Here is a 12,596-nt window from a genome sequence, read left to right as displayed (position 1 = left end):
CATGTGGGCTGGTTTCATATTTTTGCAATTGTGAATTGTGCTGCTCTAAACATGTGTGTGCAAATATCTTTTTTATATAGTGACATTTTTTCCTCTGGGTAGATAACCAGGAGTGGGATTGCTAGATCAAAGGGTAGTTCTACTTTTAGTTATTTGAGGGATCCCCACACTGTTTTCCACAGTGGTTGTACTATTTTGCATTCCTACTTACAGTGTAAAATTGTTCCCTTTTCACAGCATTCCCATTGACCTCTATTATTTTTTAATTTTTTGATTGTGTCCATTCTTGCAAAAGTAAGGTGGTATCACATTGTGATTTTGATTTGCATTTCCCTGGTAATTACTGATGCTGAGCATTTTTTCATGTTTGTTGGCCATTCGTATATCTTCTTTCAAAAATTGTCTATTCATGTCCTTAGCCCTTGTTGATGGAAATGTTTATTTGTTTGTTTGTTTTTCTTGCTAATTTGAGTTCCTTGTAGATTCTGGATATTAGTCCTTTGTCAGTTATATAGATTGTGAAGATTTTCTCCCACTCTGTGGGTTGTCTGTTTACTCTGCTGATTGCTTCTTTCCTTGTGCAGAAATTGTTTAATTTAATTGAGCCCCACCTGTTTATCATTGTTTTTGTTGCATTTGCTTTTGAGTTCTTGGTCGTAAAGTCTTTGCCTAAGCCTCTTTGCTAAGCCAATGTCTAGAAGGGTTTTTCGAATGTTACCTTCTAGAATTCCTATGGTTTCAGGTCTTAGATTTAAGTTCTTGATCCATCTTGGGTTGATTTTTGTATAAGGTGAAAAATGAGGATCCAGTTTCATTCTTCTATGTGTGGCTTGCCAATTATTCCAGCACCATTTGTTGAAACGGTGTCTTTTCCCCACTTACGTTTTTGTTTGATTTGTCAAAGATCATTTGGCTGTAAGTATTTGGGTTTATTTCAGTGTTTTCTATTCTGTGTTCCATTGGTCTATGTGCCTATTTTTATACCAGTACCATGTTGTTTTGATGACTCTGGCTTTTAGTACAGTTTGAAGTCGGGTAATATGATGCTTCCAGATTTGTTCTTTTTGCTTAGTCTTGTTTTGTCTATACAGACTTATTTTTTTTCATTCAATATGAATTCTAAGATTGTCTTTTCTAGTTCTGTGAAGAATGGTAGTGGTGTTTTAATGGGGATTGCACTGAATTTGTAGATTACTCTTGGCAGTATGGTCATTTTCACAATAATGATTCTACCCATCCATGAGCACGGGATGTGTTTCCATTTGTTTGTGTCATCTATGATCTCTTTCAGCAGTGTTTTGTAGTTTTTCATGTAGAGGTCTCTCACCTCCTTGGTTAGGTATATTCCTAAGTATTTTAATTTATTTTTTTGCATCTATTGTAAAAGAGGTTGAATTCTTGATTTGATTCTCAGCGTGGTCACTGCTGGTGGATAGCAGAGCTACTGATTTGTGTACATTAATTTTGTATCTTGAAACTTTGCTGAATTCGATTATCAGTTCTTGGAGCTTTTTGGAGGAGCCATTAGGGTTTTCTAGGTATACTATCATATCATCAGCAAACAGCTACAGTTTGACTTCTTCTTCACTGATTTGGATGCCCTTTATTTCTTTCTCTTGTCTGATTGCGCTGGCTAGGACGTTCAGTACTATGTTGAACAGAAGTGGTGAGAGAGGGCATCCTTATCTTTTTCCAGTTCTCAAAGAGAATGAAGGGATGGTTTAACATATGCAAGTCAATAAATGTTGTATACCACACAAACAGAATTAAAAACAAAAATCACGTGATAATCTCAATAGACTCAGAAAAGGTGTTTGACAAAATCCAGCATCACTTTAAGATTAAAACCCTTAGAAAAATTGAAATAGAAAGGACATACCTTAATGTAATAAAAGTCATCTATGACAAACCCACAGGCAACAGAATACTGAATGCGGACAAATTTAACTACTTTTTTTCCTTTGAGAAAAGACTTGAAAAATACAAGTTACCAAAATTAAAACAATAAAAAATAGATTATCATAATATACCTGTATCTATTGAAAAATGTAATTCCTAATTAAAGTTATTCCAACCATACAATTCAACACCCGGATGGAGTCACCAGTGGCACCAGTGAAATTTCTCAACCATTTAAAAAAGATACTATACAAATTCTATAAAAACACTTTCAGAAAATACTGAAGGAGGTAGGAAGGCCAGCTGAACCCTTATACTAAAGAAGAATGAAAGAAATGAGATATCTCCTCAGGGAGGAGAGAAGGGTAGGAGAGAGAATGAATCGTGACTAAGCGGGTTTATCTCAGAAATAAAAGATTGCCTCATTAATTGAAATCAATCAGTGAAATTCAATGCATTAAGAGGATAAAGGATAAAATACTTTTAATGATATAGAAAAAGTCATTGACAAAATTCCACACCTTTCATGACAAAAATTCTCAGTAAACTGGGAATATAAAAGAACTTATTTAATTAGTTAAAAACTATCTACAAAAAAACCTATAGCAAATATCCTGCTTAATGGTACAATATCATCATAAAGTAAAAATGTTTGCTCTCACTAATCATGTTCAACATGGTACTCAAAAGTAGTAACTAGTGCAATAATGCACAAACATAAAGTTAATTACATGAATATTGGAATGTAAAAAATAAAATAGTCTTTATTCTTATGTGGAATGATTGTCTACTTAGATAATCTGAAGAAATCTACTAAGAAAATTACCGTAATAAGTTAATTTAAAAAGATGACGAAGGCCGGGCGCGGTGGCTCATGCCTGTAATCCCAGCACTTTGGGAGGCCGAGGCGGGCGGATCACGAGGTCAGGAGATCGAGACCATCCTGGCTAACACGGTGAAACCCCGTCTCTACTAAAAATACAAAAAATTAGCCGGGCGTGGTGGCGGGCGCCTGTAGTCCCAGCTACTCGGGAGGCTGAGGCAGGAGAATGGCGTGAACCCAGGAGGCGGAGCTTGCAGTGAGCCGAGATCGCGCCACTGCACTCCAGCCTGGGCGACAGAGCGAGACTCTGTCTCAAAAAAAAAAAAAAAAAAAAAAAAAAGACGAAAATAATATACAATTTTTTCTATAGTTTTAAATATTAACATAGAAGATTTACTCAAGATCTAGTAAACATACCCATTTTACTCAAGAGAAGTTAAAACATAGATTAATAATAGCAACAACTTTTTAACAACCCAAATATCCAAGAACAGGGAAAGAAAGCAAATTGTATTTTATTCATAACAATGGATCAACATCCAGCACAAACAACAAATGATTATAAATACTTGCAGCAACATGGATGAATCTCAAAGATAATCATCTTAAATAAAAGAAGACAGGCACAAAATAATACATTCTGGGTCCTTCCATTCCTATGAAGTCAGAGTCAGGCAAATCGTCTATGGTCATAGAAATTAGAGAGTGGTTGCCCCAGATGGTGGGTTGGTGGTAGGAACTGAAAAGGGGCATGAGGGAACGCTGGGTGATACAAATGTTTGAGTTATGGTCATAAAGGTGTGTAAAATTTCCAGAACTCTTTGAACTGAATATTTAATATTAATGCATTTTATTGCAGGTAAATTATAGCTCAATTTTTAAAAGTGAATAAATCCCTGAGTTAGAGAGACTTTAACTGACTCATTCAATACCAGAACTAGAATTTATCATTCTTACTGTGTTTTTCACAACAGTTTGAACAAACTACAAATTTATTATGCTCATTGCTATAGGGTTTAAAATATGAAATATTAACACATATGTTAAATGGAAATATATAAATTTAAAAGATGCCAAGTGACTGTACTTGATTAATTGTTAGATAAAAGGATAAGTGCTGTGAATTCAAAACAAAGAGAAGTCACTGCAGGGGAAAAAGTCTGGAACACTTTTCACTTTTCTGCTAGAATAGGAGCTGAAGTTGAGCTTCGAAAGTTGAATATGTATTTGAATTGTAATCAACTTTTTAATTTTGTTTCAGGTATACCTTATATAAATAAGCATATAACAAGAAATATACATATGAATATATAGAGAGAAATAAATGTATTATTGAAATATAATCTATAATATGTGACATATGTTATATATACATATTTATATTATATATTCTATATATAATTTTAATTATATATTTATGTTATATATTATATATACAATTATAATTATTTATATATTTCTATATAGTAGAAATATGTAATATATATTTGTATGTATATACATATATAGGTATTTTATAGGCTTATTTCTGCCATTTAAATTGGCCAAAAATAAATTTGGTCTATTCAACATTAAAGAAATTTATAGAAATTCAATTAACAACAATAGATATTGTTGGGAAAGACTTGATTTGAAAATTTTAGTCCTTTGTGCTTGATATATAGTCAAATGATGGCCAATATGGTGTCTACTGAAGTAAATGAAAGTAACCATAATTAAAAATGTAGAACCCTGTGAGTTCCCCACAATAACTTGAGTTTCTTGACAGCTCAATGAAGAATTTATAAAATACAAACAATAATACAGATATGAACACCTTCAGTTTGTTCAGATTCAAATCACTGCACTGAGATTCCAGTATTTCTCTTTTTCTCATATCAGAATGTTATTGCAGTATTAAATTTAACAACTGACTAACCACAATACTCACAAGCTGACAGATGATAAGTAGTAATTGTTGAAGCAAAGCTTCAGAACAACATGTTTTACAGGGTATACAGTATTCAATTTCCTGAAGTGACAGTTTTCAGTATCTTAATAGCTAAAGGATAGTAAATTGTTCACCTCATGAGCATTTTTGGCACAAACTTTTAGAAGCAATTTTCAAGGGAGTCATTTAGGATGAATGGTATGGTACTTAGTGCAACACCGGAGTGCAACGTTAAACAATCACCGTGTGCAGAATATGGCATGACATGACCCTAATGGCAGCTTGTGGGCAAGTAGAGAAAGAAAGGCTCATGTGGCATGACACACGTTTTATCACTGGGAACTTCCAGCCACGGAGCCCTTTTAAATGGTAAGGCTGTCATTTACTTAAAAATTTAACTTCCTGTGACAGAGTTTTTAAATTATGTTTTTATCACTAAATGAATCTTTGTATCATGGAAAAGTATGAGTGTGGTGTGTTTCTACTGAGGCGAGTTCTCCGTCTGCACTTACGCCTTAAACTCACTTAGCAGTGGGGGAGCAGTGCTAAAGGAGTCACTGCCTATATTCTCTCCAGAAACTGTTCCCTCTAAGAGCTGCAGCCACCAAGGACAATTAGTTTAAAGAGTGTAAAATAGCCAGTAAAATATGCAATTCCGAGTGAAAAGACTCCCCTTTTTTTTTGAGCGAAAGAAAACAGTATGTTAATATCATACTTGGTCACAGATTAACCCCCCTTTTTTCTTGATTTCCAGTTTATCTGTTACACAAAAGTAACCCTCTTACAACATTGCTTTCTATGCAACATAAAATTCTTTGAGACATGCAAGCATTTGAAACTCTTTAGAAAGAAATCCTATAGCTAGTTAAGAATTGTAGATCTAGTCAGACGTCTTAAGTTTAAATTCTAGGTCTGCATATTATATTAAGTCTGCAATTTGGGGCAAGATTATTTCACCTTTTTTTTGCCTCCACTCCATTATTTGTAAAATTAAACTTGTATATATGTCATGGAACACTAAAAAAGATTAAATACATTAGCACATGTAAACCACTTTCAAAAGAGGCTTTCATATAATAAGAACTCAATAAATAGCTGCTAGTACTGACTAACGTTTCAACATTTTGTCAGGTGTCATTTAACAGACCAATTGTTGTAGAAATCAAAATTTAAGAAATAGTGTAGATGATAGTACTTACTTTTATTAAGTGTTGATAATATAGGCAGGTATGGCTATTTTTATAGTATTTAAATTGAAAAATTTAAACTGCAATGCCCTTGATAGCCAATACTAAAATTCTAAAATTAGTTTTAAAACAAATTAAGTTATGAATTAAGACAATTAAGTTCTGATTAAGATGTTGCTCAAGAAAAGTATTTGTGAAATGACCATTGTAATAAAACAATATAGTACCTTGAACAGAAGGTTTAAAAATATACTGGGGAGAAAGGGAGTACTACTAGAAACTAAAACGTATTTCTTGTCACTTAGAACCACTCGCTCAGAGTCCAAAAAGGGTCACAAGAATTTATGTGGAAATGTCTTGAGGGAGGGCTAATGTTTTGTACCTTCTTTCAGAAGGGAGATGAAGTGCTAGTAGAAGAAACTTTAAGGAAATGGCTTTGGATAACTCATGAGTTCCTACCAAGGCATACTGAATGGCTACATAGGAGTTATCCAGAGAAATCTTAATATGAGGATATGGTTATTAGCCTGAGCAGCTGGGCAGAGACAAAACAGGGACTTACATCTGAGAAGTACCCGCCCTTCCAACAATGGCAAAGTAAAGTTTGTAGCAATGTGTTCCTCATGTGTGGGCCAAACATGCAGTCAGTCTAGAGTCATTTAAAATTGAATTTGAATCAAGAGAATTTCTATCAGTGGATGTGAGGAGAACACTTGACAATCAAGAGCTAAGGGAAGCCCCTTACCCGTGGGTGTTGCTTTCTGATCCAGCAAGAGCCCTCTGAAGATTTCATGACATCATCAAAGGTTCCAAGACTGAATTTCAAGCATCTGCCATTACCAAAGGGCCTGAGAAATCTTAAAAGGGTTTCAGTTAGGGGAGAATATTTCCTTCCCTTCTCTCGCTCTCTCCAGATACTCCAATCTCAGAGGGATCAGTAACTGCACTGAGTAAATGGATGAGTACAGGGTAAATGAGCTATATTCTCTTCTAAGAAGCCAGGAACCCACCAGCAACCAAGACCTAGGTGGAATGGGGTGGAGGGAAAGACATGTTCTTAAATTATATATATTAATGCATTTTGATTATGTATCATTAGCTGCACTTACTCAAATCCACCAGTTCCACTTAAAGTATTACTTATCATAGACAAGTGCTCCTTGGCTCTCCTTTTCTCTCTTCTCTCATCCACAGGACTTTTCTTTGAGAAATTTGCTCCTCCCCCTTTCTTATCTATGTTATTCATGTGAGAATTATTGTGTTTTCAGCTCCAAGAATGTGTCATAATTTGTTTAAGCCAATCAACAGATCATATTTCCTGGTCATTGAGAAACAGTGAGATCTTGGTTGGAGATGTCAGGAGACACACCCACATTCCACAGGTAATTCAGTGAGAGAGACCAAGCTCTTTCATGGAAGAATGTGTAGTACGAAACTGCTGCAGCCACTTAGCTAACACATTGGAGAGGCCTTATCCTCAGCTGGGTAACTGGAGATTAGGGCCTACCAGCAGAGAGCCATTGTTTGAGCCATTGTATAGAAGTTAAGTGAAGTTAGCTCTCCTAGCTATATAGTTGATTGAACCAGTAAATATTACTTCCCCTTTAACCCAATTGGAGTTATTTTTGTGTCATTTATAACATGAAATGTCCTGAAAAATAATTTGAAATGTTTGGTGCCTTCATATGAACACAATTTTACAAATATGCTTCTTGACAGCAAGTTCAAAAAAAAGTTTTAGTCAAATTTACACCATTAAAAAAGGACCTAATATCTCAAACTTCAAGATGCAATTTATGTTTGGAATTATCTATTTCACTGCAAATAACTCCTGCTATTTTAGATTAGTACCTTTTATAAATGTTTAAGGATGACGAACATTATGATTTAGCTTAATAATCTAGCATGAAATCAATTCTCTGAGGATAAATGAGAAGAGTCATATTTACAGTAAATTAAAATTTGTCATATGTTAAACTAATTTAAAAGACATTAAAAAGGCAAAACCAAATTTATCTAGGCGAAATATACTCATAAAACTATTGAGATTTGAAGGGAGAACATACTTTAATTCTACCTCCCCTCAGTATCCGTATATTACACAATTATTTGGTTTATCACATTTGGCCTCTAGTCATTTCTTTACTCTTCATTACAAATTAGCATAATTACTAAATGTTTATTAATTTCAGTTATATTACTTTATCTGTAAAGTTATTTTCTTAATCATACTCAGTAACAAATTAATATTAATCCTTGGAAATAATAGCATTGCATTTCTTTCTGCTTTGTTTTCAGATTTATTCCTGACCCTCAGCTCCAACAGCATTAAAAAAAGAAAAAAATAACATACATTTTCTATTGTGCTTTGATAATTATTTCATTCTGCTCTGCTATCTGGAGTAAATATTAGGCCACAGGGTATGGTCCTTAAGGGGTAACTTCTTCCAATTTCATGTATGAATAAATAATGTTGTATGGAGAATTCTAGCTTTAGTAACATTAGTTTTTACACAGACTATATTTCAATAGAAAGATATGAACAATATAGCAGCCACCTATTGGTTTAATGAATTCATAAAAATGGTAATATCCATTTTCTTATTCTAGCAATGTGTAAATTACAGTATTTGAGAGAGCATATTCATAGTTTATTTACAAGTATTCTCATTTATCAGAAAACTAAAATTTATTTGAACTTGTAAAACAAAATGACCTATATATACCAATATCATTAGTCTAAAAAAAAAATAATTATTTACCTCTCAGAGCCCATGAGCTAGGCAAAGATGAGATGGAGATGATCTGATTAAGACGTTGTTCAAGAAAAGTATTTGTGAAATCGCCATTGTAATAAAACAATATAGTGCTTTAAACAGAAGGTTGTAATATATAGTTTAGAGTTTCATCACTCTACGTATTTCAGATGTGGGGATAAATATAAACCTAAGACATAGTTAAGGTAAACATTGGGAAACAATTTGTTTTCTTTCCTTGAAATCAAAGTTACCAATCTCTGATTAAAACATAGTCCAGTTTCATGACTGAAGTATTGGCTGGTGGGAACCAGAATTCAGCTGATCTGATATTTAGGAGGTGATTATTGATCCTGACATCAATACGGCTTTTAGGGTCACCCAGATTGCTCCATCACTGACAGGGGGCAGTCAGATTATTCTCACTATTCCTGGATTTTTTGTGATTTACATAAAGAGACTCTATAGGTGATGCTACACATTTTAATTTTGTTACTTCTAACCAAGAATAATTTAACCAACAGTCATACGCAATGTTCCTCATAAAAATGAATAGAAAGCTTATCAAATAACTGACTATAATAGGTTTATTAATTGATATGGTTTGGCTGTGTCCCCACCCAAATCTCACCTTGAGTTGTAATAATCCCCATGTGTCAAGGGCAGGAGCAGGTGGAGGTAACTGAATCATGGGGGAGGTGTTCCCCCATGCTATTCTCATGATAGTGAGTGAGTTCTCATGAGATTGGATGGTTTTATAAGCATCTGGCATTTCCCCTGCCGAAACTCATTCTCTCTCCTGCTGCCCTGTAAAGAGGTGGCTTCCTCCATGATTGTAAGTTTCCTGAGGCCTCCCAAGCCATGTGGAACTGTGAGTCAATTAAATCTCTTTTCTTTATAAATTGCCAAGTCTCAGGCAGTTCTCTATAGCAGCATGAGAAAAGACTAATACATTAATCAAATCATATTTGTCATTTCTTCTATTATACCATTAAAATTAAAATCCCAATAATACTAAAAATAAATCAAGGTACATGAGGACAGCAATGAAAATTATTTATTTACCCGTATAATAGTTACTCGCAATCACCTGATACTTGATAATACAGTTTAATTTAAATACACAATAATAGGGTTGCCATTTTATTTCCATATGAGAAAGAAAATGATATATAGTGCTTTATCTTTCTAGAAATACAAGGTGTAACAATGTTTAGTTCTTTAAGTTATGAGGTGAAACCATTCAAAAATAATATTTCAGTCAAATTAGTGTTAAAAAAACTATAAATTATAAGAGGAAATATAAGGGAATATTTAATCTTTGGATAAAGTTTTTTTTTTTTTTTTTTTTTTTTTTTTTTGAGACAGGGTCTCACTCGGCCACATTGGCTGAAGTGCCGTGGCAAATCTCGGCTCACTACAACAACCATCTCCTGGGTTCAAGCAATTCTGTCATCTCAGCCTCCCAAGTAGCTGGGATTACAAGCACCTGCCATCATGCCTGGCTAATTTTTGTATTTTAGTAGAGACTGGGTTTCACCATGTTGGCCAGGCTGGTCTTGAACTCCTGACCTCAGGTGATCCACCCACCTTGGCCTCACAAAATGCTAGAATTATAAGCGTGATACACCACGCCTGGCTGGATGAAGTATCTTTATACAGTCTTGCATCACTTAATGACAGGATGGGGATATATTCTGAGAAATGTGTTATCAGGCAATTTCATCTTTATCCTGTCATCGTAGAGTGTACTTATGTGCATAAAACTAGGTGGTATACTGTATTTATCTGTTTTCCACACTGCTATAAAGAAATACCTGAGACTGGGTAATTTATAAAGAGAAGAGGTTTAATTGACTCACAGTTCTCCATGGCTGGGGAGGCCTCAGGAAACTTACAATCATGGCAGAAGGGGAGGCAGGTGCATCTTACATAGAAGAAGGAGAGAGAGAAGTGAGAGTGCAGGAAAACACTGCCTCTTTTAAAACCATCAGATCCCATGAGAATTCACTCACCATCAGTAGAACAGTGTGGTGAAAATGGCCCATAATTCAATCATCACTTCCCACTCTATACATGTGAGGATTACAGGCCCCTCCTTCAACATGTGGGGATTATAATTAAATGAGATTTGGGTGGGAACACAGAGCCAAACCACATAATAAACCCTACTACAGGTCTAGGCTATATGGTGTAGCCTACTACTCCTAGACTACAAACCTGTACAGTATGTTACTTTACTGAATACTGTTGGCAGTTGTAATATAATGGTGTTTGTGTATCTAAGCATACTTAAACATAGAAAAGGTACAGTAAAAATAAGGTATAAAAGATAGAAAATGACATATTGGGCAGTGATAAAGTTTTTTAAATTGTGATTAGAGGTTTCACAAATAAAAATTAGTCAAGAATAAGTACAAAATACAAATGTTAAAACTTATCAACAATTCATTTTATTGTTTCTGAAGTAATACTGTGGTGATACAATGAAATAATATATGAATGTCAAGTCTTCAGAACAGTGACTGTCCAATTAAAGCTACCCGTCAATGTTAGATAGTGCTGTTAGGAACAGGACTTAGAACTGGAATCGGAGTGGGAGGAGAATGAAAAAATAAATATATAGATATTGTCATATTTAAATAAGTAATATTCAAAATTATGGCACTTAGTGAAGAGACATGCAAGTTCTATACTTTTTAGAAAAGTGAAAATTTGCTTAACCTTTCTAGAAATTAATTTGATCTGTCCCCAAAGCCTTAAATGGGTTTCTTGCTATTGATCCAGTAATTTTATTACAAATACTCAATTGAAAAAAATATGAAATATATGAGAAAGTTCATTACTATTGTATTTATAAATTAATAAAAAGTTTAGACAGGAGAATTCTATCTTGTTAGGAATAAGAATCTTACATTTCATTTATTAGATACAAGATTTGTGCACATTCTTAATGCCATCTAATTGTCATCTGGAAATAATAATCCCAACGGTGAGTTACTGGAATAAACACAAAAAAATACTGCATGTAAAAATCTTAGTATTTTGCCTAGGGCAGAATATGATGTTAGAGATTATTATTATTGACAGTGTTACTATAATTGCATGTGCATATTAGTTAGGGTTTGCTGAGTTGCATTAACAAACAGATTGTCAAAATTCTGTGGTTTAGAAAACTGATTTTATTTTTTTCTCTCATGTAATACAGGTGGAGGTTCTACTGCAGTAGCAGTTCTTTTTTGTTGTTGTTGTTGCTGCTGTTGTTGTTGTTGTTTAGATAGAGTCTGGCACGATCTTGGCTCCCTATAACCTCCACCTGCTGAGCTCAAGTGATTCTCCTGCCTCAGCCTCCCAAGTAGCTGGGACTACAGGCGTGTGCCACCACGCCCTGCTAATTTTTGTGTTTTTAGTAGAGATGGGGCTTCACCATGTTGGCCAGATGGTCTCGATCTCTTGACCTCATGATCTGCCCGCCTTGGCCTCCCAAAGTGCTGGGATTACAGGCGTGAGCCACCGCGCCTGGCCAGTAGCAGTTCTTTCTATGCAGTTACTGCTGGTTCAGGCTGACAGAAGCTCTGCCATCTTTAACATACAGCTTTCAAGATTGTTGTCATTGCTTTCATCCTAATCACCTGAAAGCGTGAAAAACCATGGAGGATCATGATTCAGAAAGTTTACATTATATTCTACCCACAATTCATAGACACTCAGCAGTATACCTCATTCACCCTAGCTCTTTGTCCAGGGGGAAAAATCGAGTGAATTAATTTAGTGACTGAATAATGGTCTTTGCCATATACTTATATATAATGATTTTGTATACTTGTTGTTTTTAATAAGATTATTTCTTAGTCAAAACAACCTATTGAAATTATATTAATGTGTTTTAAAAATGAAAATACATAGAAAATAACAAAATGAAATATGACTGTTAAATGTGGGTGACAATTGTGAAAGATTTATTTTCTAAAGGGTATAGCTTTAATAATTTTGACAAGGAT

At 34.4% G+C, this 12,596-nt stretch overlaps 1 annotated feature.

The window, feature by feature from the left end:
• Positions 7,031 to 7,587: an enhancer, noted in NCBI's record as "OCT4-NANOG hESC enhancer chr3:79986556-79987112 (GRCh37/hg19 assembly coordinates)". NCBI's record gives its function as "activates a minimal SCP1, AML or CMV promoter by ChIP-STARR-seq in naive H9 embryonic stem cells {active_cell/tissue: H9 hESC(naive)}" and the evidence as "EXISTENCE:reporter gene assay evidence [ECO:0000049][PMID:30033119]".

The sequence above is a fragment of the Homo sapiens genome, chromosome 3 (assembly GCF_000001405.40).
Source record: "Homo sapiens chromosome 3, GRCh38.p14 Primary Assembly".
NCBI classification, from domain to species: Eukaryota; Metazoa; Chordata; class Mammalia; order Primates; family Hominidae; genus Homo; species Homo sapiens.
This window is presented reverse-complemented; position numbering and strand designations above follow the sequence as displayed.